This window comes from Homo sapiens, chromosome 3 (assembly GCF_000001405.40).
Source record: "Homo sapiens chromosome 3, GRCh38.p14 Primary Assembly".
NCBI lineage: Eukaryota > Metazoa > Chordata > Mammalia > Primates > Hominidae > Homo > Homo sapiens.
Window position 1 is genome coordinate 52,254,321 of NC_000003.12, and position 25,859 is coordinate 52,280,179.

General features: G+C 44.5%; 1 protein-coding gene and 1 non-coding gene across 3 annotated transcripts, besides 8 other annotated features; both read right to left on the reverse strand.

The window, feature by feature from the left end:
* Positions 1-113: 113 nt before the first annotated feature.
* Positions 114-24,329, reverse strand: WDR82 (WD repeat domain 82). Of its 2 annotated transcripts, NM_025222.4 has the most exons (9): positions 23,881-24,329; positions 16,392-16,489; positions 12,632-12,698; positions 7,060-7,159; positions 6,065-6,181; positions 5,397-5,552; positions 4,877-4,946; positions 4,216-4,358; positions 114-3,199 (listed from the first exon to the last, which is right to left on the reverse strand). In NM_025222.4, the coding sequence occupies exons 1-9, from the start codon at positions 24,039-24,041 to the stop codon at positions 3,170-3,172; spliced, it is 942 nt and encodes a 313-aa protein (NP_079498.2). In that variant the 5' UTR covers positions 24,042-24,329; the 3' UTR covers positions 114-3,169. The 2 variants fall into 2 exon arrangements, with proteins under 2 accessions (NP_079498.2, XP_011532438.1); XM_011534136.3 differs by lacking the exon at positions 16,392-16,489.
* On the reverse strand, positions 13,958-14,041 carry MIRLET7G (microRNA let-7g). The gene has a single exon (NR_029660.1). It is a non-coding gene; the product is annotated as a microRNA let-7g (primary transcript).
* Positions 23,056-23,688: an enhancer, noted in NCBI's record as "H3K27ac hESC enhancer chr3:52311392-52312024 (GRCh37/hg19 assembly coordinates)". NCBI's record gives its function as "activates a minimal SCP1, AML or CMV promoter by ChIP-STARR-seq in primed H9 embryonic stem cells {active_cell/tissue: H9 hESC(primed)}" and the evidence as "EXISTENCE:reporter gene assay evidence [ECO:0000049][PMID:30033119]".
* Positions 23,192-23,241: an enhancer, noted in NCBI's record as "active region_19935". NCBI's record gives its function as "activates an Ori minimal core promoter by ATAC-STARR-seq in GM12878 lymphoblastoid cells {active_cell/tissue: GM12878}" and the evidence as "EXISTENCE:reporter gene assay evidence [ECO:0000049][PMID:35858748]".
* Positions 23,262-23,341: an enhancer, noted in NCBI's record as "active region_19936". NCBI's record gives its function as "activates an Ori minimal core promoter by ATAC-STARR-seq in GM12878 lymphoblastoid cells {active_cell/tissue: GM12878}" and the evidence as "EXISTENCE:reporter gene assay evidence [ECO:0000049][PMID:35858748]".
* Positions 23,752-23,851: an enhancer, noted in NCBI's record as "active region_19937". NCBI's record gives its function as "activates an Ori minimal core promoter by ATAC-STARR-seq in GM12878 lymphoblastoid cells {active_cell/tissue: GM12878}" and the evidence as "EXISTENCE:reporter gene assay evidence [ECO:0000049][PMID:35858748]".
* Positions 24,042-24,121: a silencer, noted in NCBI's record as "silent region_14437". NCBI's record gives its function as "represses an Ori minimal core promoter by ATAC-STARR-seq in GM12878 lymphoblastoid cells {active_cell/tissue: GM12878}" and the evidence as "EXISTENCE:reporter gene assay evidence [ECO:0000049][PMID:35858748]".
* Positions 24,302-24,591: a silencer, noted in NCBI's record as "silent region_14438". NCBI's record gives its function as "represses an Ori minimal core promoter by ATAC-STARR-seq in GM12878 lymphoblastoid cells {active_cell/tissue: GM12878}" and the evidence as "EXISTENCE:reporter gene assay evidence [ECO:0000049][PMID:35858748]".
* Positions 24,302-24,952: a biological region, named in NCBI's record as "H3K27ac-H3K4me1 hESC enhancer GRCh37_chr3:52312657-52313288".
* Positions 24,321-24,952: an enhancer, noted in NCBI's record as "H3K27ac-H3K4me1 hESC enhancer chr3:52312657-52313288 (GRCh37/hg19 assembly coordinates)". NCBI's record gives its function as "activates a minimal SCP1, AML or CMV promoter by ChIP-STARR-seq in naive H9 embryonic stem cells {active_cell/tissue: H9 hESC(naive)}" and the evidence as "EXISTENCE:reporter gene assay evidence [ECO:0000049][PMID:30033119]".

The following is a 25,859-nucleotide window of genomic DNA, read 5'->3' on the forward strand; positions in this document are numbered from 1 at the left end:
AAGCTGCAGTGTGAGCCAGAACTAACAGGAGACAACCCAAGCCTCCCTCCAGCTCTGGGAACCAGGCAAACCATGCTACAGAAACTCAAATCGAAGAGGCTGCAGCCATAAAATTCTGTTTAAGACTGTAACATGGAAAAAATGTTTATACGTTAAGTACAAAAGGGACATAAAATTGTATATACAGAATAACGACTATGTAAACACACCAAAAATCTATGCACAGAAATGTCTAGGGGGAACATTTAACACCAAAAGATTAACAGTGGTAGCATTTGGGTGGCAAACTTGATTCTTTCTAAAATTCCCATATTTTCCTTAATAAGCAGTAATTATAATTACAACGGGAAATAATTTCTTTAAGTACCCAGTGCAGTGTCACTGTCAAATAAACATCAGTGGCTTTGGCCCCAATTCTTAAGGTGGCAAACGCCGCTGCCCCACTCCCCACCCATCCCCAATAGGGCTTGAGCACCTGTAGCCCTGCTGAGCACGTCTGTGCAGCCCCAGCCCTCAGCATCTCTTCCACTCGCTTCCAGCTATATCTTTTCCCTTTCCTTCTTAATTCAGGAGGCAGCTTTGCAACCACAGGGCCCAACGATAGAGACTGTGAGGTGGCATTTTTTTTTTTTTTTTTTTGAGACGGAGTTTTGCTGTTGTTGCCCAGGCCGGAGTGCAATGGCACGATCTCAACTCACCGCAACCTCCGCCTCCTGGGTTCAAGCAATTCTCCTGCCTCAGCCTCCCAAGTAGCTGAGATTATAGGCGCATGCCACCACGCCCGGCTAATTTTGTATTTTTAGTAGAGATGGGGTTTCTCCATGTTGGTCAGGCTGGTCTCAAACTCCCGACCTCCGGTGATCCGCCCGCCTCGGCCTCCCAAAGTGCTGGGATTACAGGTGTGAGCCACCGCGCCCAGCCTTGAGGTGGCATGTTTTCAAAGAACATGGTGCTCAGTTTTGGACACACAGGAACTCAAATACAATCATTTTCCTGCTGCTAAGTAATGCTTGGTGGCTGCTCTGGTTGCAGATATGTGAAGTTAGGTAGCCTTTCCTGTTAACCCATGGTTCCAAGCACTCTCTCTTAACAATCATTCCTACTGTGAATTTTCTACCCGGAAAAGCCAGGGGTGGGCAATAACAATTAAGATCATTTGGTTTCTAAAAGTTCTTCCTCTCTGGGAAAGCAGAACTATACAGTGGGTGGCATCCTGCAGATTCTAGTCTACATTTGGGAAAGGTGTACGCCTCTTGCACTTTCAGAGGAACAAGTCAAAAAGTAATTGCTTAAAAAAAAAAAGTGCTAGCAATTCACAGCCTATTCCTGCCCGCTGAACAGAAATTGTGATGCCTTGATTTACCCCCTAGCAGCTACATATTCTTGAGCAAGTCATAACCCTATTGTGCCTCAGTTTCTGGATCTGCAAGGAGTGTTGCCTGCATAAATGTTTGTTTAGGAACTTAGTAAAATGACATACTCCTCTCTCTGCTCTAAGAAGGCCATGAGCCAGCTGCAGCTCATCTCACTCAGCCTGGGCCTGACCAGAGTCCTTTCCTCTTCCAAGAGAAAGCAAGGAAAAGCAGCAAGCAAGCAGACATACCAGGTCAACAGGAGTGATCTATCATTGGCAACGAGGCCTCAAACAAACTGCAAATGCTCTGGCTTCAGCACCTTATCCCCAAATGCCACAAACCAGACATGGAAGCCATGCAAGAGTGACTATCACACACACACACAGGCACAGACAGAGTACCACCAAGCAAAAAGGGGGCTAATACTGCAGAGATGGCCCCAAAGTGCAGCTTGAGGAACACAGCAAGTCATCCCAAGACCCTCACTTAGCTGCCAAAGAAACAGCAAACACTATCAGCTTTGCTTCAGTCTTCTGAAATGAAAATATTAATAAGGAAGACTCACTAATACTTGTGGCAAACACTATTAGCAGGGATGCAGGGTGTCTCCTGGGCTGCAGGACTCCATCTGCTTCAGCTGAACTCTTGGAAACTACAGATGAGAGATATATGCATACGCACACACATATATGCGTATCTGTATGCACACAGATGTATTTAAATGAAGGTGCATACACTGTGCTAAAATACAAACAACAGAAATCAAAGGTCATATATAAAAACGCTAAATATGACATATAACACAGGCCTAGAACCAGCTCTTGGTTGGGAGCTGGGGAAAGGGGTGGTATCATCTGAAGACTATGTACACAATTTGTGGTGGGCAGGGAAGGCATCAGTGTAAACAACTCAGACTCACTTCACAATACTGGCCCACAGGTAAGTGTGATGTATCTCATGTACAAAAATAGACTCCCACCTTGCTTTTGTACAAACCAAGCTTGGTAGGCACCCAGGAGGACCGTGGGTTTGTCTTGATGACAGGGCACTGCACCAGGCTGCTGCTAAACCTTCCAGCCCTAGGAACTCACCTGCTACCCTCCCGCTACCCTCCCCTTTCCCTCCCTTTCAGGCCCTTGGGTCTTTTTCCCACCCAACACCTACAGCCCGAGGCCTGCCCAACCACCTAGCCTCACACGACTAACTGCAGAAACTAACTGCATGGCTTCCTGCAAGCAAGGTCCTTCTGTATCTGTCCCTTTCTCTGACCCCAAGATATATGAAAATGTTTCTGTAAATGTTTGGCACCTAAGAAACATGATGGTTGTGGATAATGCCACAAGTACACAGGGAGACCCAGTAACAAGACATGCAGGGTGAGGGCAAGCGGCTGAGCTGCCCAAGCATTTCAAAACCAGGACTTTGGCTTCCCATGCAGTTGGAGGGTAGAAGGGATGTGCGGAACTGATGACTTCACCGGCTCCTCAGCAGCATGTACATTCAAATTGAAGATGCTTGAGAGCCCCACTATACCAAATCGTGAGTCTGGTCACTCCTCCAGCAGAGCTTGGTGCAGTGACAGTTAGAAAAGCTGAGTTCCAATTGAGTCTGTTGCACCAAGAGTCCTTTTGAAGACGCTCATCAAAGTAATTATTTTCTTTTGAGCAGATGTACAGCACATCCATGGGAAGGCCATGTAAAAGGATGTTCTCCAGCCCAGTCAAATGATCCAATCCCACTATTATCTCAGTTCCCTCTGAGTTTCTTCCTGCTGGCCGCCCTCACTATACAGAAATAGCCAAGCAGCAACAGGGTCAGTCATCAATGGTGGGCAACCAAAAGGCCTAGAAGGAGAACATAAATCAACTTTAAAAAGCCAAGCATCTCCTCACTGCCAACGGTTCTTCACATCCCACCCCACAGCAAAAATGTGCCCAACCCCAGTGGCTCTGGTAGCCCTCTCTCCTAACCAACCAACCCCGATGCTCTAAGGAGACAGAAACACTCTTTCCTCTATGTGAAAGTAAAATGGTTCTGTTTTTCTCCAATAATCACTGTCCACCTTCCACCAAAGCAGACCCCCCGCCCCCTTTTTTTTAAAGGAAGGGAAAAAAAGGAGTGCTGCCTGGGAGGTGGGTGAATAAGTAACCTGTCCTCATTGCTAATCCACCAGGTTACCTCCAACAGGCCCCCACCTTCCTGGGCTGTAAAAAGTAAGGAACTGGATGGTTTTGCTGTATTTTTTCTAACATTTTTTTCTTGGTTAAAAAAAAAAAGCAAGGTGGCAATGTGCTCCGGGTAGGCTAGTAATGAAATGTCTCATCCCCGAATACCCAGGCAGGTTTAGGAGATCACAAGGGAAAACTGGAGCTGAGACTCACTGATCCTTTGTTCTGTTAGTATTATCTAGGAAGAGATAAGGGCCTGGAGTTAATTCTAAGTGGTGAGTTATGACCAACTGTAGAAATTTCTGGGAATTTGGCGTAAACCAACAGGAATGGAAAACTGAAACCACAAAAGGCCGGTTCAGAGTATTTTAAGGAGCAAAAAAATTGCCAAGCATAGCCCAGGTAGTTTGGACCTAAAATTAGGGTCCAGAGCAAAAACTGGCCTATGATCTCCTTGGAACTCAAAGATGATTCCTGATCACCTCTAGGAAGAATAAAAATGAAAGGCAAGACCAGCCCAGCCAGAGATCAAATAATAGGAGATGAAATAGGGAAACCACCAGTTGAGAAACATGTACTTGGATGCTTGTAATGTACCTATGTAGAACACAGCTTGCTGTGCTTGTTGAGGCACCCACCACCCCAACTGGGAAGGGTCCCTGAGTAGCAGATACCTCTTACTGTTCACATACCATGTTGGAACACGCACTGGCAAAAGTCATGAACTTGGGGTTGAATTGCAAACAGGTAATCGGGCCTGTGTGTTTACCATCCAACACAGCTACTTTTATACCGCTCTCTCCATTCCAGACATGGATCTTGCCATCCTCTGAACCTAAAGAGGATATTCACGGAAAATGTAACAGCTCAAGGCGCAATACAAAGACAACTGGAAATGAGACATGGATTGAGATCTGAGGATACGCCAAGCTTTAGGACCCATCCCTCAGGCAAAATTGAGAGGGAGGAGAGGCAGTGAAGGAAGGACACTTTGGAAATTTATCTTGACCCTAGCTATTTGTTCACAGGCATGTCACTTCCGTTCTAACTTCAGTTTTCTCATCTAAAAAAGGGGCCGAATACCATTACCCTACCAACAGGCAGCCACTAAGATGACTGAATGTAGGGTTACACCAGGACATTAGCATTACTAATAAGGTAGTGCTTGTGGAGTTTAACTCAAATTTTGGTCCAGTCAGGGCAGTTAAAAGACACTATGTCCTTGGCATAATGTGCTATACAGAAATCTAAGAACATCTATCAAATAGATAATAATGTCTCAGTTAATAATTTAAACAAAGAAATGCATAGTACCAGAGAAATAACCCCCACAGGGGATAAAAGGAAACTCACCAATCATAATAAACTGAGAGTCTGGAGTAAATGAAGCCTCCAGTGTGACAGCTTTGCTGTTGGCATAACCCTAAAACAAAACAGAGCAGTTCTTTTGTTCTTACAGAGCCATTAATAAAAACAGCTGCCTACAAACACTGACTCAGCACATGCATCACCTTCCTTTCCATGAAACCCTTTCCTTGTCATGTACTACACCACCAAGCTTCCAAATGTGGTTGCCATCGTTGACAATCCACTCCCACCCTCAACTCTGTATTCAAGGCATACTCAAGGGGGCAAGAAAACTTTATTGTTAGGAAATTATTTTATATCTAAATACCAAACTTGGGTCACTTGGTGAGAAATGAACATCTACGAAATCCAAGAGAGGTAAGTTCATGAGCAGGAAGAAAATACAAGTGCATGCCTTCATGAGTAAGTCAAGAGTAACTGTTGGTCTCCACCAACCAGCTAACATAATTCTTAGCATAGGAAGTATGAGCATGGAAACAGCCATGCTTGAAGGCTGTCAGCTCACCCCAAATGTGTGCATCACCACTCCTTTGAATGCATCAATCAGACGAATGAAGCTGCCGTTGGTGGAAATGAGGATGAGCTTGCCATCATTGCTGAATTTAAGTCCTGTCCACTCACAAGTTCGATCATACTGCATCTTAAAGGTAGCAAATGGCCCCTGCAAAAGATAAAAAACAGTAGCCCCAGGCATATTAATAATTTCTTCTGCTAGAGCCAATTCCCATCCTATTCCTTTAGATTACTTTTTGACTAAGGAAAGCAGAGAATGAGCTACTTCTCTGCCACTCTCTAATATCTACCACATTTTTCCTTTTGTAGAAAAGGCTCTTACAGGGCCGGGCGCGGTGGCTCACGCCTGTAATCCCAGCACTTTGGGAGGCCGAGGTGGGTGGATCACCAGAGGTGAGGAGTTTGAGACCAGCCTGACCAACATGGTGAAACCCATCTCTACTAAATACAAAAAATTAGCCAGGCGTGGTGGCGGACACGTGTAATCCCAGCTACTTGGGAGGCTGAGGCAGGAGAATCACTTGAACCTGGGAGGCAGAGGTTGCAGTGAGCTGAGATTACACCACTGCACTCCAGCCTGGGCAATAAGAGCAAAACTCTGTCTCAAAAACAAAACAAAACAAAAAACAGCTCAAAGATCTCAAAGATTCAAAGATTTACCTTATCAAAAGAACGAAGGTCATAAAGCTTGACCATTTCAGAGTTGACACCTGCAGCGAAAATTAACCCTTCTGGATCAAAAGAACAAACTGGCTTCCCCTGCAGATGCATGAGGCCCTAAGAGAAAAGAAATAAGAAATACACTAAAACACACATGCCACAACCATACGTGGAATAACCAAAGACTGCTGGTACAATGGGGAAAAAAAAATGAATCCAGGACCTTACCACTATATAATTTACTTTTCCCAATTAAAACTAAGAAAGGCATACAAACAAATATCAGCCTACCTACAGAACACACACAAAAAAAACATAAAACTAAAATGAAGCTTTTAAAAAACAGGTCTCCAGACAACAATTTCTGATCAACTCTAACTGCACAATATTACAGACACAGAATTCAAATAAAAATAAATCCCTTGAAGCTAAAAGCTCTAGGAACACTTTTAAAAACATTAAGCCAGCTGGGCGCAGTGGCTCACGCCTATAATCCCAGAACTTTGGGAGGCCAAGGTAGGAGGATCACCTGAGGTCAGGAGACTAGCCTGACCAACATGGAGAAACCCCGTCTCTACTAAAAATACAAAATTAGCCAGACATGGTGGTGCATGACTGTAATCCCAGCTACTTGGGAGGCTGAGGCAGAAGAATCGCTTGAACCCTGGAGGTGGAGGTTGCGGTGAGCTGAGATTGCACCATTGCACTCCAGCCTGGGCAACAAGAGCGAAACCCTGTCTCAAAACAAAAACAAAAACAAAACAAAACAACAAAAAACCCACAACAATTAAGCCACAGAGTACAATGCAATCTGCACTAGATTAGGGTATGTGCTTAGCAGCTACCAACTAAAAAAACAGATTTTCTCCAAAGTTTAAAAAGACCCTGTGATCCCAGAATGGAACCACTGTTTTCTCCCTTCTTTGAGAGGTAGAGTTCATTACAGTGCCTACCAAAGAAAATGCTCAAAAAGTATAACTGTGAGGTACCATTACCTGGCAGTTAGGAGACCGGAGATCCCAGAGTCGAATGGTCTTATCAAGAGACCCAGAAATGAAAGTGTCATCCACAGGTGACATGGACAAGGCCACCACCCTGCAATACATCGAGATAAATAGGAGTTGATGCGAAATATTAGCAAAAATTGGATGTGAATTCTAAACCACTCTGCCTATCTATACATATATATACCTGTTCTCCCAAAATTGCCATTTTAAGAAACACAATAAAACACACATACCACAACCATATCTGGAACAAACAAAGGCAACTAGTATAAAAAAAAAAATTTAAAGCTACAAAATAAAAATATATGATTCCAATGCAAATCAAAACCACAATGAAATACTACTCCACACCCTCTAGCATAGCTATAATAAGAGAGATAACAAGTGTTGGTGAGGATGCAGAGAAATTGGAACCCTCATACATTGCTAATGGAAATGTAAAAATGGTACAGTTGCTTTGGAAAAGTTTTTCCAAAAAAAGTTACCACGTGACCCAGAAACTCCACTCCTAGGTATTTACCCAAGATAACTGAAAATATATGTCCACACAAAAATGTACACATATGTTCAGATCTGCACTATTCATAACAGCCAAAAAGTAGAAATAACCCAAATGGTCCATTAACTAATGGATGGACAAACAAAATGTGCTGTATCTATACACTGGAACATTATTTGGCAATAAAAAGTAATAAAGTACTGCCTCATGTGACAACATGGAGGAACCTTGGGAACACCATGCTAAGTAAAAGAAGCCAGGCACAAAAGATCAGATATGAACTGATCCATTTACACAAAATGTCTAGAATAGGCAAATCTATAAAGACAGAAGTAGATCAGCAGTTGGTAGGGGCTGAGGGAGTGATTACTAATGGGTACAGAGTTTCTCTTTGGAGTGATAAAAATGTTCTGAAGTTAGATGATGGTGATAGTTGTCCAACTTTGCAAATATAGTAAAAACCACTGAACTGTACATTTTTAAAGGAATCATTTACAGTATGTAGACTGTATCTCAATTAAAAAAACACAAAAAAGCATGATTCCTTATCAAGATGTGTGAGGACTACACAGATATTCTCAAACCTAAGTGGCATCAGCATCACCTGGAGGGTGGGTTAAAACAGACTGCTAGGATCTGCTCCCAGAGCCTCTAATCCAGTAGGCCTGACTTGGGGTCTGTGAATCTGAGTTTCTAACTAGCCCCCAGGTGATGGGTGAGGCTGCTGTTTTGGGCACCACACCTAGAGAACCACAAGCCTATGCTAACAGCAACTGTATTCCTTTTTTGGTTCCCTTTTGTGGTTATACCATCAAGAGACACTCACTGAAAAACATTTTCTTCCAATGTAACTCAACTAACATCTGCACCAGCTCCTCAAGTTAAAATTTTAAAAGGTATTGTTAAAAGCCAAAATTTCCTGAGAATGCTGAGGAGGTAATAAAACACAATGAGCAGGCCAGGTGCGGTGGCTCATGCCTGTAATCCCAGCACTTTGGGAGGCCCAGGTGGGCGATCACCTGAGGTCAGGAGTTTGAGACCAGCTTGGCCAACATGGTGAAATCCCACCACTAATAAAAATACAAAAATTAGCCAGGCCTGGTGGCGTACACCTGTAATCCCAGCTACTCAAGAGGCTGAGGCGGAAGAATCGCTTGAACCCCAGAGATGGAGGCTGCAGTGAGCCAAGATCACACCACTGCATTCCAGCCTGGGAAACAGAGCAAGGCACCGTCTCAAAAAACAAAAATCAGAATGAGCAGAACACGTTGTGGACATGTAATTTTATGCCATGGCATTCAGCCCAAGAGCTCAGCACAAGACTCTATGCTGAGAAGTACAGGGAACACATGGAGAAGTAAGACCCCGACCGTAAGGAATTTTAACTGTCCAGTCCACATGACTCCAAGAGGACCAGAGAAGGCTTCTGGAAAGATACAACATCTGAGGTAGAAAGGATTTCAAAGAAGTAGCCCAGAGTTCACCTTAATGGGAATGGTGGGAGAAAATGCTGAGAAAATGGGTCAGAGCCAGAAGGGACAGAACCTGACTACAAGGGGAAGGAGCAATGAAAATATAGAGAACCATTAAGAGAGATTGTGAAGCAATCAAACTGCAATCCAGGAAGCTGAAACAGGATGGTAAGAGATGGGAAGATTAATTAGGAGCTAACAATAATTTACCTCACAGGGCATGAGCCAGGGCAGAAGCAAAGGAGAGAACACAGAGGAAAGTGACACATGAGGTTAAACCTAGGGAGAACTAAATAGTTTAACAACTCACTGAATATGATGGCAGGGGAAAAAGAGTGAACTAACAACAGATGCTTTGAGCCAGAATTGGAAGAGACAGAGATGAATAAATATGAGGAAGACAGAGAGAAGCTGGCCCAAAAAAGGTAACAATGATGGACAGAGTACTGGACCTGAGTATTAGAAAGAGTATTGGACAGAAGAGACAGCTACAAAGATGTGTATAAAACATGTAGGTGGTGCTGGGTGCAGTGGCTCATGCCTGTAATCCCAGCACTTTGGGAGGCTGAGGCGGATGGATCACCTGAGGTCAGGAGTTTGACAGCGGCCTGGCCAACATGGTGAAACCCTGTCTCTATAAAAACACAAAAATTAGCCGGGCATGATGGTGCGTGCCTGTAATCCCAGCTATTCGGGAGGCTGAGGCAGGAGAATCGTTTGAACTCAGGAGGTGGAGGTTGCAGTGAGCCAAGATCATGCCATTGCACTCCAGCCTGGGTGACCCGGTGAGCCTCCATCTCAAAAAACAAAAAAACAAACAAAACCTGTAGGTGGAAGGCGGGTCTGAAACTGATAATAGACATGAGCTAAAAATACTGATTTGGGAAGCCACCTGAATGGAGGTAAATGAAATCAGCGATGGAGATAAGAAAGCGGATAAAATATTTGTTTATTTTAGAGTCAAAACAGAGGCTGAAAACTACAAGAACAGAACCGACATGGGAAAAGTCACCTGCCACGGGAAAGTAAGTTTTACTGAGAGGTTAAGCACCAAGAAAAGCCCAAACCAGTGGCTTTTTAACTAGAGGCAGCAGGGAATGAAGGATAAAGGTTTGGATAAAGCCCCATAGACGATTCTGGGACTAGTGCAAAAATGATTTCAACAGTGAACATGTGTGAGGAGGTGGAGATGGGAATGTACAGATTCTTCTTTCAAGTTTGATAGTGAAAAGGAGTGGGTGATAGGGTCAATAAGTAGATTTAAGATAAGAAAGACCAAGTAAATTTGTAGGCAACAAAGGAAAGGCCAATTAAGGAGATGGAAGCAAGCAGAAAGAGGAAGGTCTGTTTTGTGAAAGAAAGACAACAGCTTTCTCAAGGAAAGGATTCCAAGGAAGACAGAATTTAGGTGGAAGGGATAGATGTTTAAAAGAACTCTTTTTTTTGGAGACACGGTCTTGCTTTGTCACCCAGGCTGGAGTACAGTGGCACAATCATGGCTCACTGCAGCCTCAACCTCCCAGACTCAAGCGATCCTCTCACCTCAGCCTCCCAAAGTGCTGATAACAGGCCTTAACCACCACACCCAGCTGAAATAACTCATTTTGTATAGCCTTGATTTTCTCATAAAAGGAGGGACAAAGTCATCTATCAAGAATCAGGAGGTCGGCCAGCCGGGTGCGGTGGCTCACGTCTGTAATCCCAGCACTTTGGGAGGCTGAGGCGGGCGGATCAGGGACCATCCTGGGTAACACGGTAAAACCCCATCTCTACTAAAAATACAAAAAACTAGCGGGGCTTGGTGGCGGGTGCCTGTGGTCCCAGCTACTCAGGAGGCTGAGGCAGGAGAATGGCGTGAACCCAAGAGGCGGAGCCTGCAGTGAGCCAACATTGCACCACTGCACTCCAGCCTGGGCGACAGAGCGAGACTCTGTCTCAAAAAAAAAAAAAAAAAAAAAAAAAAAAAAAAAAAAGAATCAGGAGGTCAAGAGGTTGAATAATTGGGAAGACTGGAAAGCACGTCAAACAACTGCATCAACTCTTAATTACAAATAGTACATTTGTGAACATTAATTTGAATAAAAACAAGCAAAACATCTACTTATCATGAGCCATCCTTTGTCTGAAACCAGTTACCACTGGTTGCCACCTTATTTCACCTTTATTTCAGCAACACAAATGGCCTGCCCAACTGGAAGTGCAACTTTTTTTTTTTTTTTTTTTTTTTGAGACAGGGTCTTGCTCTGTCACCCAGGCTGGATGGAGTGCAGTGGCGCCACCTTGGCTCAATGCAGCCTCTGTCTCGCGGGTTCAAGCAATTCTCGTGCCTGAGCCTCCGAAGTAGTAGGAATTACAGGCGCACACCACCACTCCTGGCTAATTTTTGTATTTTTTGTAGAGACAGGGTTTCACCATGTTGCCTAGCCTGGTTTTGAACTCCTGCACTCAAGCAATCTGTCCTCCTCAGCCTTCCAAAGAGCTGGGATTACAGGCATTAAGCCACCACGCCTGGCCTGGAAGTGCAATTTCTAACAGGAGGCTCTCAGGCCATCTCCTGTCAGGGCTCCATACCAATCGAAACCATCCTGGGTTACTGTACATTTGCAAATGGATGCAGGAAAAAATACCCCAAGTGATTAAAATATTATCCAGGGGAAAACGTGTTTAACATTCAAAGAAAAGTTGAAAAATTAGAGAAAAAAGTAACTAGGGGCATTGGGGTGAAGAACAGAGAGAAGCAACCTGCATTACAATACAGAAAAAGGAGATAAACTTCTTGATTTTAAAAAAAGGACTTTCTTTTGCATTCTCATTAAGATCTTTAAATGGAACATTTTTACATAGGGGCCCACTGAAATGGGGGCCACATATATTGGAAGGCCTCATAAACACAAACAGTCCTTTATTAAGGGATATGTGAGATTTGGTATTCCTAAATGCCAAATCTAATTTTTACTACATAAGTTTTCACTGAATATCTTTAATCCACATTTTTTCTAGTTTTATATGTATATATAAAACTAGAAATATATATATCTAACTAGAAATAGATATACCTATAACTAGAAAAAATATATATACATATATATCTTTGAGACGGAGTCTCACTCTGTCGCCCAAGCTGGAGTGCAGTGGCGCGATCTCGGCTCATTGCAACCTCTGCCTCCTGGGTTCAAGCGATTCTCCTGCCTCAGCCTCCCGAGTAGCTGGGATTGCAGGTGTCCACCACCATACCTGGCTAATTTTTGTATTTTTAGTAGAGATGGGGTTTTGACACGTTGGCCTGGCTGGTTTCAAACTCCCGGCCTCAAGTGATCCGCCCGCCGCGGCCTCCCAAAGTGCTGGGATTACAGGTGTGAGCCACTGCACTGGGCCTAGTTATATTTTAACTGAGGTATCTCTGAACACCTACCTCTGCACCTCTATAACCTCAGTAAATCAAGAGTTGACTATTTAAGAGAAGATGAAGAATGCCAAGCAGTAGTGAGGAAGTAGCTTCAGTTCACTAATAAGCTCTCTCTAGCCTTCTATTCTCTGGGTAACCTCAGGGATAAAAGAACTATCTGCTTCTATAATACGTGGGTCTTACCTTTTGCTATGTCCAGGAAAGTATCTGATGTATTTGTTGTCATGCAAGGACAAGTAACGAATAGTATCTGTAAAAAGACAAACAAGGTATGATGATATCATACTATTTAAAAGAAATTTACTTTACATTTTCATCTTAAAAAGACAAGGTCAAATAATCCATTGTATTCTATATCCCAAGCAAGGCATGAATAAATAATGGTGAATAATTCTACTCTGCAGCTGAAGAGTGGGTATGTAGATTTCACCTAACTCAAAAGCAGAGTTCTTAAGTTGACAGCATAGAAAGCAATGTTTGAAATGACCTTTTATTACCAATTTGGTTTCTTCATAATTACAATGCAACTCCCACCCTGCAAATATACCCTGGTCAAAAAACAAAAACAAGTAAAGCACACATAATAATTTTAGATACTGGTCTAGTGTCCACAGAATGGCAAACCTTAAAGAAAAATATGTGGCTGTTGAGCTAACAGACTTAAAGAGGTGAGCAGCCATGGCAGTTAAACTGAAGATCAGGTTGAACCCTGGCAGCAATTTTTGTCTAGAGTTCTCCATCAGTATGTTGACCCACCCTCAACTCATTTGAACATTCTTCAATTGGACACACAAATTACAATGAAAATAAACAAAACGTCAGAGAAGTGATGTCAAGATCTGGGTTAAAAAGATCTTAAGACATTAAAAAAATCAAATTCTTATACCAATGAGTAATAGCAGTGAGATTTTGACAATATTAAAGAAAGGAACAATCAGAGATTTGTGCTTGTGGAAAAATAAGACACTCTTAACCAAATGATTCTATCTGAAAGAGTAAACAAACAAAAAACATGGTGGCGGTAGAGAAATGAAGTGCCATAAAGAATAAAACTGCAAAATAGAAAAGTATTATCCCCTTAAAAAGACTAGGAATAAGGAAAAATTGTTGAGAAACAGCTAAGGGAAAATGGTACCAAAATGCAGAAAGAAAACCATAGAAAGAACATTCTGAAGGCAAACAGAACATAGGAATAAAGGGGTTGAAAGCATCGAGTCATCCCAGGGGTTCACAGGGGTGCTTTCTAATAAGAGGGCATTTAACTTGGGAGGGGGAATAGGGGAATAGGGATATTTGTATATTCCATAACTTGAACACTACACAATTTTCCTTGAAAACATCTTCAAACTTCTTGAATGACAACTACGAAGTATTTCTAGTTATTCTACTGCTAACAATGACTCACCTGCCCTAAGAAGAAAAAGACTTCCTCCCCATTACCTGGTTTCCCAGAGATGAGCAGGGTGACGCCATCCTCTCAGCCCCACTTGGCAGCTGGCGCGCTGTTCCTGGCAAGGCAGTGGCCTGTACAGTTATCTCCTGTACCGGGTGGTATCATAGACCCTCAAACTGTACAAACTACTACCTCAGCCTGGAATCAGGCAAAAGGAAACGGAGCGCTGGAGGAACTCTTCAGGATGCACTTGAGACAGGAAAGGGAACATCCTCACAGCAGAGGCTTGGCAGCAAAGCTACAAGTGCCACACATTTGCCTCATCTTGCACCACATTTGGAGAATCCTCATTTAATCACTCAGAAAAACATCCCAACAGAAGAAATAAACCAGTCATTCGGATGATCACATAGACATGTTTCCTCAGGATCCTAAGGTTTTACATTCTTTTCCAAAATCATTAACTACACTGCTTCCTTAGAAAACCACTTCTGAAATACAGGCATGAAAAGTAGAAATGACATACTTAACTAAAAATCAATACAGGCAGAAGAGTCTCATTAAAAAAAAAAAAAAATGGAAAAAAGGACTTCCGCCCATTCTGCTCTGAGATAGGCACAGCCAAAATAGCAGTATAAGCTATCCTTGTGGAATGACATTAGAAAAATCTTTTTTGTTTTTTTGAGATGGAGCCTCGCTCTGTCACCCAGGTTGGAGTGCAGTGGTGTGATCACCCTAGACCTCCAGGGCTCAAGCAATCCTCCCACCTCAGCCTTACAAGTGGCTGGGACTACAGGCGCGTCCCATCACACCTGGCTAATTTTTGTATTTTTTGTAGAGACGGGGTTTTCCCAAGTTGCCCAGGCTAATCTCGAACTTCTGTGCTCAAGTGATCCACTCTCCTAGGCCTCCCTAAGTGCTGGGATTACAGGCATGAGCCACTATGTAGCCACCGGCCTAAAAAAAACCTTACTGCAAAATGTGAGATGATCATCAATAATCCACTGAAATAAGTTTAAAAACAGAATCCTGGCCGGGCGTGGTGGTTCACACCTGTAATCCCAGCACTTTGGGAGGATGAGGCAGGCAGATCACTTGAGGTCAGGAGTTCGAGACCAGCCTGACTAACATGGTGAAGTCCCAACTCTACTAAAAATACAAAAATTAGCCGGGCGTGTTGGTGGGCACCTGTAATACCAGCTACTTGGGAGGCTGAGGCAAGAGCATCGCTTGAACCCAGGAGGCTGAGATTGCAGTGAGCCGAGATTGCACCATTGCACTCCAGCCTGGGCAACAAGAGCAGGACTCTGTCTCAAAAGAATAAAGAATAGGCCGGGCACGGTGGCTTACAAGGTCAGGAGATCAAGACCCATCCTGGCTAACATGGTGAAACCCTGTCTCTACTAAAAATACAAAAAATTAGCCAGGCATGGTGGCATGCACCTGTAGTCCCAGCTACCTGGGAGGCTGAGGCAGGAGAATTACTTGAACCCGGGAGGCGGAGGTTGCAGCGAGCTGAGATCGCGCCACTGCACTCCAGCCTAGGCAACAGAGTGAGACTCTGTCTCAAAAAATAAAAACAGACAAACAAAAGAAAATAAACAAAATTAAAAAATTAAAGAATTCTAACATGAAAATAAGTGTTACAGTTCAGTTACCAAGACAATCTGTTAACTTAGGATTTATCTCGAGACATGCAGGCAAAAACAGAGATTGTTTATTATAGAAAGAAACTCACAAGTTCAATTTCTAAAAGTAACTCTACTCTTTAGATCAAAAAACGTTCCTGGAATCAGAAGTGACTAAGGTTGGGAAAACACCAAAACTGTTCTAACTTCCCTTAAACTATCATAGTTCAAGCATTTGTGAAACTTTTCTCAAATCTCTATCATTTTAAAAGAAAAAGTCCTGTTGTTTATCACTTGCTGTGTATCAAGTGTTCTTTCCTTTTATTTGTTCTAAAAGTGTTCTTTTTGGAGATGGAGTCTCACTCTGTCGCCCAGGCTGGAGTGCAATGGCGTGATCTTGGCTCACCACAACCTCTGCCTCCCGGGTTCAAGAGATTCTCCTGCCTCAGCCTCCTGTGTAGCTGGGATTATAGGCGTGCACCACTGTGCCCAGCTAACTTCTGTATTTTTAGTAGAGACAAGGTTTCACCATATCGGCCAGGCTGGTCTTGAACTCCTGACCTCAGTGATCCGCCCACCTCAGCCTCCCAAAGGTTGGGATTATAGGCGCGAGCCCCTACGCCCGGCTTTAAAAGCGTTCTTTTAAGTGTCAGGAAGTACAAATCATAAACACAATTAGTTGTTTCCTTTTTCCACTCCCCACTCTGAATTGAAGACTTTTCATACTCAGTCCCAAGTCCTTCAAAAGTGCCAATGGCTTGCTTCCAGCATTCCTTCAGTCAAAACAATGCAATTAACATTACTAACATTATATGAAAATACTTAAACTAAAGTAGTCACAAAGCAGAAGTAGTCACAAAGATTCCATGAACTATTTAACAAAGGAAACCATGACCTTAACTTCCTAAAAAGGCTTGCTTACCGTCTATTTTGTTAGAGCTGTAAACAACTGTGTTTGCTGCATGAGTGTATCTGATGAGGTCCACACCATATTTCTTACTGTACAGGGTTCTCTTTGGTCTGATAAGAAAATAGAGACAGAAAATCATGAACATTCTCCATCATCAAAATCTGGGATCTCCACATAAAGAGAAGCACTTGAATGATGTGGCAAAGGTGAGGATTTTTGGTAAGTTCTAACACTGGAAAGAAACAACTTCTTCCAAAAGGGAAAAAACAACGCTCAAGCAACAGCCATCTGAAGAAGCTTTCCACCTTAGAACACCTAGTGGCAAGGTTAGGTGGGAAGTAAAAGTAAATCTGGGGATTCAATTCAGTCTTTACTACAATGTTCAAAAGCTTTGAGAAAAAATACAATCATGTGCCATGTGATGACATTTTTATCAACAACAGACAGCACATAGGGTAATGGTCTCATAAGATTATAATAGAGCTGCCCTCTACAACCGATGTTTCATTTTTTAAATCCCTTAAACTGTTTTACGGCACCTTTTCTATGTTTAGATACACAAACACTTAACGCTATATTATAATTGCCTACAGTATTCAGTACTGTAAAATGCTGTACAGGTTTGTAGCCTAGGAGCAATGGGCCATACCAAACAGCCTAGGTGTGTGCAGATTATACCGTCAGGTTTGTGTAAGTACACTCTATGATGCTGCTGCAACAAAAACTCACGTGATGATCCCCATCTAAGTGATGCATGGCTGTACATCTACTTGGGAAGAAAGGCACACAAAACAAGTCTTAACTTACAACAAAGAGGGATATGAGAATATGTCAAACCCAAGAGGCCAAACTTTTCTTCTCAAGACATCCATTTAGAAAGAAGCTCTGTGTTTTTTTTTTTCAAGACGGCAGTGATTCCTCAAAACTGAAACCAGATGCAAAACTGCTTGCCTTTGCTAATGTAACCTGCTCTTGCAGAAGACATCCATCCTTCCTATCCTACAGGTCAAAAGCGCTTGCTGAGCCTTTTAGAAGGCAAGCCTAACTTTCTCTAGCAAAACCAGTTAAATAGTTCCTTTGCTTTTACTTTAAAGCAAAATCACACATTTCTGGCCACAAGGTGGTGGCTCACATCAGTCATCACAGCACTTTGGGAGGCCGAGCCAGGCAAATCACCTGTAGTCAGAAGTTCGAGAGCAGCCCAACATGGTGAAACCCCGTCTCTACTAAAAATACAAAAATTAGCCGGGTGTGGTGGCACACACTTGTAATTCCAGCTACTCAAGAGGCTGAGGCAGGAGAATTCCTTGAACCCAGGAGGCAGAGGTTGCAGTAAGCCAAGATCGTGCCACTGCAATACAGCCTCTGCGACAGAGTGAGACTCCACCTCAATAACAGACAAAAAATCACACATTTCCAAGCTAGAGGTTATCAATCTCCATTTGTTGAAGTTCCTTAAATGTCTCCCTTTACAGAACCTTGAAGAGCAAGGCTAAAACTGGTCTCAACAGAACCTTTAACCAAAAACTCTAACACATACTGGTTAAGTTAGAAAAATTTTAGGCTGGGCGTGGTGGCTCACGCCTGTAATCTCAGCACTTTGGGAGGCCGAGGAGGGTGGATTGCCTGAGGTCAGGAGTTTGAGACCAGCCTGGCCAACATGGCGAAACGCTATCTCTACTAAAGATACAAAAATTAGCTGGGTGTGGTGGCCCACGCCTGTAGTCCCAGCTACTCAGGAGGCTGAGGCACGAGAATCACTTAAGCCTGGGAGGCAGAGATTGTAGTGAGCTGAGATCGCGCCACTGCACTCTAGCCTGGGCAACAGAGCAAGACTCCATCTCAAAAAAAAAAAAAAGAAAAATAAAAATTTGAGACTTAAATATCTATGTAAATCTAGATTCAAATGCTAAAATAACTCTCCAATACGATCAACTGAAAAAACAGGAAAGCCTTTAACATAATGTCCTACATTTAGTTCTTTAGAAAGATTTCATAAATCCTGTACTAATGTTAACCAAGAGTTCCAATTTATGAAAAGGAAAGCTAATCCTCTCAATGTAAAATCCTCTCAGAATCTAGGTACTAAACAATCACGACTCAAGCAGTCTTTAAGAAGTCAGTTATTTGCACTTTCAATTTTTGTTAAAGTGAGGCCAAGGGCTTCCCTACATGAAACCCATTTCCAACAGACTTCTCACTACAAATACACTGGATTTTCCACATTCTTACCTTTACTGAAATAACACTTCACTCCTAAAAAGATCAGCAAAGGCTACTTTGCCAAGTGCACTGTCTGGGGTTCTGATGTGGGGTTACTGTGTGGTAACCAGTGAGGCAGTCTCAGTGTGTGGCTGTATACTTACTCTCTACATAGTTGACTCTGCTACCAGTGGAAGAAGTTTATATCAGTTATTTCATCCCATCTACAATAGCAAAGACAGAAACTGGCCGGGCGCAGTGGCTCACGCCTGTAATCTCAGGCTTTGGGAAGCCAAGGTGGGTGGATCACCTGAGGTCAGGAGTCTGAGACCAGCCTGGCTAACAGGGTGAAATCCCATCTCTACTAAAAATTAAAAAAATTAGCCAGGTGTGGTGGTGGGCACCTGTAATCCCAGTTACTTGGGAGGCTGAGGTAGGAGAATCACTGGAACCCGGGACATGGAGGTTGCATTGAGCCAAGATCGCGCCATTGTACTCCGACCTGGGCAACAAGAGCGAAACTCCGTCTTAAAAAAAAAAAAAGACAGAACATGAAGAGCCAACTCTAACTTGACAAGTTGAAAGAGAATAGTGTAAGGAAAATTTCTGGTTCCACTTAGATCTGGTCTATTTGTCTCAAATTTATCAAAAACACTAACCTGAGATTTTTTTTCCTGATAACAGAAATCTACTGCCTCATTTCATTTCCCAATTTGATTTTTATTATTTTTATGTTTTTGAGACATTCTCGCTCTGTTACCCTGGCTGGAGTGCAGAGGCACGATCTCGGCTCACTGCAACCTCTGCGTCCCCGGTTCAAGCAATTCTCCCTGCCTCAGCCTCCTGAGTAGCTGGGATTACAGGCCCCTGCCACCAGGCTCAGCTAATTTTTGTATTTTTCTGTATAGACAAGGTTTCACCACATTGTCCAGGCTGGTTTTGAACTCCTGACCCAGGCGATCCACCCGCCTCGGCCTCCCAAAGTGCTGGGATTACAAGTGTGAGCCACCACACCTGGACTCATTTCCTAACTTGAAAGCAAGATTATACTGTACTGCATCCATGTGGGTCTTACAAAATACATGCACAACATTTTTCAAATATTTTGGTAAGCTTCCTTCCTCAAACTATAATTCTGGTGATCAAGCATCAACAAGGAAAATAATATTAACCTTTCACTTTGAGTAATTTGCTTCACCTACCACAAACAATATCCTTTATACTCTTCCAAATTGAAATATCACTCAATGGGCGAACTCCATTGTAAAGAAAATTTAAATGACCAGTAAACTGGAAAATACTAAGCACACAAAATCTTGCTTTAGCCATTTTCAAACTCCCAAATTCTAACACTAGGGTCATCTAATAAAGATACTATGCCTTCGGCCGGTCACAGTAGCTAACACCTGTAATCCCAGCACTTTGGGAGGCCTAGGTGAGAGGATCGCTTGAGTTCAGGAGTTTGAGACCAGCCTGGGCAACCTGGTGAGAACTTGTCTCCACTAAAAATAAAAATAGCCAAGTAAGTTGGCGAGTGCTTGTAGGCCCAACTACTTTGGAGATTGAGGTGGGAAGATCACTTGAGCCCAGAAGATGAAGGCTTTAGTGAACTATAAGCATGCTATTGCACTCCAGCCTGAGCAACAGGGGAAGACCTTTGTCTTAACAACAAACAAACAAAAAAACAAAACAAAACAAAACAAAAAAACAGGGCCGGGTGCGGAGGCTCACATATGTAATCCCAGCACTCTGGGAGGCCGAGGAGACCGAGGTGGGCAGATCACTTGAGGTAAGATGTTGAGACCAACATGGCCAACATTGTGAAACCCCATTTCTACTAAAAATACAAAAATTAGCAGGCACACTGATGGGTGCCTGTAATCCCAGCTACTCGGGAGGCTGAGGCACGAGAATCGCTTGAATCCAGCAGCGAGGTTGCAGCAGTGAGCCAAGATTACGCCACTGCACTCCAGCCTAGGAAAGAGTGAGGCAGTCTCAAAAACAAAACAAAACAAAACAAACAAACAAACAAAAAGAAAGGCCGGGCGCAGTGGCTCATGCCTGCAATCCCAGCACTTTGGGAGGCCGAGGCGGCGGATCACCTGAGGTCGGGAATTCGAGACCAGCCTGACCAACATGGAGAAATCCCGCATCTACTAAAAATACAAAATTAGCCAGGTGTGGTGGCGCATGCCTGTAATCCCAGCTACTCAGGAGGCTGAGGCAGGAGAATCGCTTGAACTCGGGAGGCGGAGGTTGCAGTGAGCCGAGATGGAGCCACTGCACTCCAGCCTGGGCAACAAGAGCGAAAGTCCCTATCAAAAAAATAAATAAATAAAAGATACAATACCATGCCTTCCCAAGGAAATACTTCTTTTCTTCTGAGGTCGGTTTGACCTATACTAGTGACAAAATTTTTCATCATATTATTGCCTAGAATGGAAACTAAAGAGGTTGTCTAATACCCAAAGAAGTAATCTGACCAATGTCACATACCTAGTCACAGGCCAAACTAGTACCCAGTTCCCTCCTAACTACCAGGCCACTCCTTCACCACAGATAATGAAACAAGGTTACAATTAATTGATCAGAGAAAACTCAAGAGCATGCCCTGTAGTATTGTATCAGTACTAAATTTCCTAATTTGGATAACTGTGCTCTGGTTACATAAGAATGTCTTTGTGCTTAGAAAATCCACGTTGAGCCGGGCGCAGTGGCTCATGCCTGGAATCCCAGCACTTTGGGAGGCTGAGGCGGGTAGATCACGAGATCAGGAGTTCAAGACCAGCCTGACCAACATGGTGAAACCCTGCCTCTACTAAAGATACAAAAATTAGCCAGGCATGGTGGCATGCACCTGTAATCCCAGCTACTCAGGAGGCTGAGGCAGGAGAATCGCTTGAACCCAGGAGCCGGAGGTTGCAGTGAGCCAAGATCACGCCACTGCACTCCAGCCTGGGCGACTGAGCGAGACTCCATCTCAAAAAAGAAAGAAAATCCATGTTGAAGTGTTTAGGGATAAAGGGGCTTGATACCTCCAACTCTAAAGGTGGGGGGAGGCACACAGTACATATAAATATTTACCTACAGTCATGAAGCAAATGCAGAAAATGTAACCAGTTATTGAATCATATGGGAGTTCTTTGAAACACTGTAACTTTGTTAGTTTCTAATTATGTAAAAATGCTACGAGTAAATAAACTGCCTTATGTCACAAAACTAGCATTTTACTTTTAACAAGACAGGATTTGGCCAGGCACAGCAGCTCATGCCTATAATCCTAGCACTTTGGAAGGCCAAGGCGGGTGGATCACTTGAGGTCAGGAGTTCAAGACCAGTCTGGTCAACATGGTGAAACCCCATCTCTACTAAAAATACAAAAGTTAGGGTATGGTGGCAGGCGCCTGTAATCCCAGCTATTTGTGAGGGTGAGGCAGGAGAATCGCTTGAACCCGGGAGGCAGAGGTTGCAGTGAGCCAAGATCGCGCCACTACACTCCAGCCTGGGCGACGGAGAGAGACTCCGTCCCCCACCCGAAAAAAAAAAACAAAAAAAAGAAAGACAGGACTTCATGTCAAGGTCATCCTTCCCAAATCAAAATTACGCCAAATTTGGGGACAAACTGCAAAGAAATGCTATAACAACCTTCATTTCCTTTAAATGAGGATATACATCTCCACCCTCAGGTTCTGGGAAGAGGTTCTAATCTGTGCATAAGCACTATACATTTCATGCAAGCCAGCTTCAAATTACTCCTCCAGGACCCCACAATGCTGACCCTACTACCACACCTTTAAATGTTACTTCGTCTTCTAAACTGATTCAAGTGACCAGACCAGGACAGAAATCCATCTACTCAATGAGTAACACTGACTCAAATAACTATTTGTCCAGCTAACAATTCCCTCTTCCTTAAGACCACCACTGCAGACCACTCTGCCACAAACTGCAGGCAGATCCAGAGCCGGTTACATAATACTTTCTCACAGCCCCAGTGGGGAAAAAAACTGGGGGGATACCATTATAGCTCAGTCCAAACTAGCATTACTTCAGATAATCAAATTCACAAATGAAGAGATATGTTCCAAAAGAAGGACACCAGTCTAAAAAAAAAAAAAGGAAAAAGGAACAGCTGGAGAAGGTGGAGAAAAACCCAAGATCTCAAATAATAATAATAATAATAATAATAATAATAATAATATCTGTTACTAGGTGACAAAATCAAGTCTGAAAAAACCAGGGTCCACCGAATTAAACCAAACATCAGCAAGCCTTCTTGGGGAAGGTGGCTAAGGGTAAAACGAATTTAATCTAAACTAGTTTTTGGCTCCAAGGAGCTGCAAGTCCACAGGCGTGCGGTGAGGAGGGCTGACAAGGACCCCCAGGGAAAAAGGCAAAGTGCTGTGCTTAGATTTTGCGAAAAGATGCAGGTATGGTGGGTCTCCAGATGACTTGTGGCAACATAAAAGTTTCATGATCAGAATTGGAATTCAAAGTGGACCAAAAAGTGTAATAGAAAAAAAAAAGTATGAAAGGAAACCTGAAATTGTTCTACGATGCTTGCTTTGTTTTAACGGAAGCTCACATTCAGGTCAGGATGGGACGACCAAGTTCGTTTGTGTGTGGCAAAAAGGAAGTTTTAGATGTTGCTGAAAAGTTCACTTATGAACGTGGGCACCAAGTCTGAATGAGTAAGAGAAAGGCTAGGAGCAGGAAGAAAAAGCAAGGGGGCTCAAAGGGGCACAACAAATAAATCCTGACAGCTAAGAAGTGCAACCCACGCGGTCTGACGGCAGAAAGGCCGCGGGAAGCTGAGGGGCAGGGGATGGGCGGAGTGCCAGGGCGGAATCGAGGTCACAGTGGAGAGAGCACAAGAGAGAGCTGACGCTGCCGAAGGAGGCAGAAAAGCAGCCCCTGCAGTCCTGCGTCGAGGCCGGAGCAGACCAGCACCTTTGACAGCCTGAGGAGCTGAAAACGCTACCTGGTGGGCCCAGGGTGGGCGGACCGGGCGTTTAAAGGTCAAGGTCAAGGTGGGGTTTGGCAAGTGATGCATAGCGCTCAAAGGAGACCGAAGACATACAAATAATATTATAAAATTATGACTATCGTTATCTTTTTTTTTTAAGAAGAAAAAAATAAAAGGTCTCCTGGACGGCTGCGGGGTGGAGGCGGCCCTGGCAGGAACGCGTGCAAAATAGGCTGGGGGCTGAAGTCGGGACGGAGGGCAGGCCGAGGGACCTGTGCTGGGCCACCGGAGGGAGGCACTGAGACTCGGGCCCAGGGCCTCCGCCGCACTCACTTGCCCTCCTGGCAGTCATAGAGCACGATGGAGTCGTCGTCGCTACTCGAGATGACCGTCTCGCCGTTGGGGCTGAAATCGAAGCAGTTAATCTTGTCCGAGTTTTCGCGGAACACCTTAGCGACGCGGAAGCTCCGCAACACGCTGTCGGTCAGCTTCATGGCGGCGGCTGGGGAAGGCAGCGGCGGCGCAGGGCCGGGGCGGGGCCCGGCGGCGAGCGGGCGGGCTGCCGAGGGGCCAACCCAGGCGGGGCGGGCGCCGCGCCGGCGGCTAGCGGGAAGTCGGCCAACAGTTGGGCCGCCTCCTCCTCTTCTTCCTGCTTGGTCGAGGGTCTTCTGCCTGGACTGTGGAGCCTCGCCGACCGTTCGTCCTCACAGCCACCTCACGGACAACCGGCGCGTCGCCGGCTCATTGTGTCCGCCATTTTGGGGCGACAGGCAGAAGCTGAGGGCGAGGAGCCTCAGCCGCGGCGCACGCCGGGAAAGGGGGCGGGGCGGGAACGGCGGAGCAAGGCGGGGAGGCGGGGTGGTGACGTCAGCGCGGCCGCGGCGGAGTGTAGTGGCGGGGCGGGCTGCTGGCAGGGAGCGGCCGAGACGTGCAGGGCCTTCCCGGGGGATCGGAAGGTTGCGGATGCCTTGGGAGCCGGGGGCCCTTGCGCGGGATTGCAACCCCCGCGAAGACTCTGGCGCCTCCTGCAGGCGTCCCGATCGCAGGCTGCGTGGGAGGGGGTACTGCAGGGTCGGGTATGCTGCTGGAGGCCGGTTTTGGGGGTGACTCAGGTGAGCCGCTCGCAGGCAAGCTTGACCGCTAGTCCACCGCAGCGTCCGCTTAGACAGCTTCGACCTCTTTACTTTTTTTTTTTTTTTTGGAGATGGAGTCTCTCGCTCAGGCGCGCGCCACCACGCCCAGCTAATTTTGTATTTTTGGTAGAGACGGGGGTTCACCATGTTGGCCAGGCTGGTCTCGAACTCCTGACCTCACCCGCACCCGGCCTCGTTTTCTTAATCGAGGTAGACTTTAGGTACAGTAAAAATCAGCCTTTTTAGGCCGGGCGCGGTGGCTCACGCCTTTAAACCCACCACTTTGGGAGGCCGAGGCGGGATGATCGCTTGAGCTCAGGAGTTGAGACCAGCCTGGCCAACATGACAAAACCCCACCTCTACTAAAATACAAAAAATTAGCCGGGCATGATGGCGCGGCTGAGGCACGAGAATTGAGAAAGGCGGAGGCTGCAGTGCGCCGAAATCGTGCCACTGCATTCCAGGCTGGGCGACAGAGCAGACGGTTTCCCCCCAAAAATTAGCCTTTTTAGTGGCTAGTTTTATGTTCTGACACCCATACACAGTCATGCAGTCACCACCACATTCAAGATTTGGAAGAGTTGCACTATCCTGTTTGTAGTCAACAGGATTATTTTAAAGGTTCTATCATATAAGTGATTATTTGCCTTAAAAGAAAGTTTATCTCTAACAAAGGAAAGCAGTATTTGAACAGAAAATAGGAACCAAGCTTCCTAACCTTAACTTTCTGGGCAAGGGGTTAAACTCAATGCCAACCTATGTGGCTTCACAGATCTGTATCTTGTGTGAAGCTCCTCAAAAGGTTAATTGCCTGGGGTTTCCAACAATGAAGATGGGGATTATTTATTTTTGCTTTCTTTAGCTAAAGAGAAACAAAAACGAGGAAAGGCTGTGAGACATTTCAGTCGCTATTAGGAAGGTTATTATCCAGAGACCTGTGCAATGGTAAAAAACAAAATGGAAACCCTGGGACAGTTGGGGTCTTTCTAGAAAGAACTAGAGGCTGTATCCCAACCCCCTGGGTAAAAGGAGAGCCAGGATCCTTATACATAAAGAGAAGTTGTTCTCTAAGGGAAGAGGCAAGTTCCTGGCTAAGTCTGGGGTATAATTGCCTCCTGACAAAGAGCAGAGCTTCTGGCTACAATTTGTTCTGGGGTCTGGAAAAAGCCGGTTTGAGTG

Coding starts and splice junctions, on each gene's coding strand:
- WDR82 (NM_025222.4), bottom strand. CDS start 24,041: ATGAAGCTGACCGACAGCGTGTTGCGGAGCTTCCGCGTCGCTAAGGTG. Junction 6,182..7,059: donor TCCGGTCTCCTAACTGCCAG/GTAATGGTACCT, acceptor CTTTTCTCTTAG/GGCCTCATGCATCTGCAGGG. Junction 4,947..5,396: donor TGGTGATGCACACATTTGGG/GTGAGCTGACAG, acceptor GTTTTGTTTTAG/GGTTATGCCAACAGCAAAGC.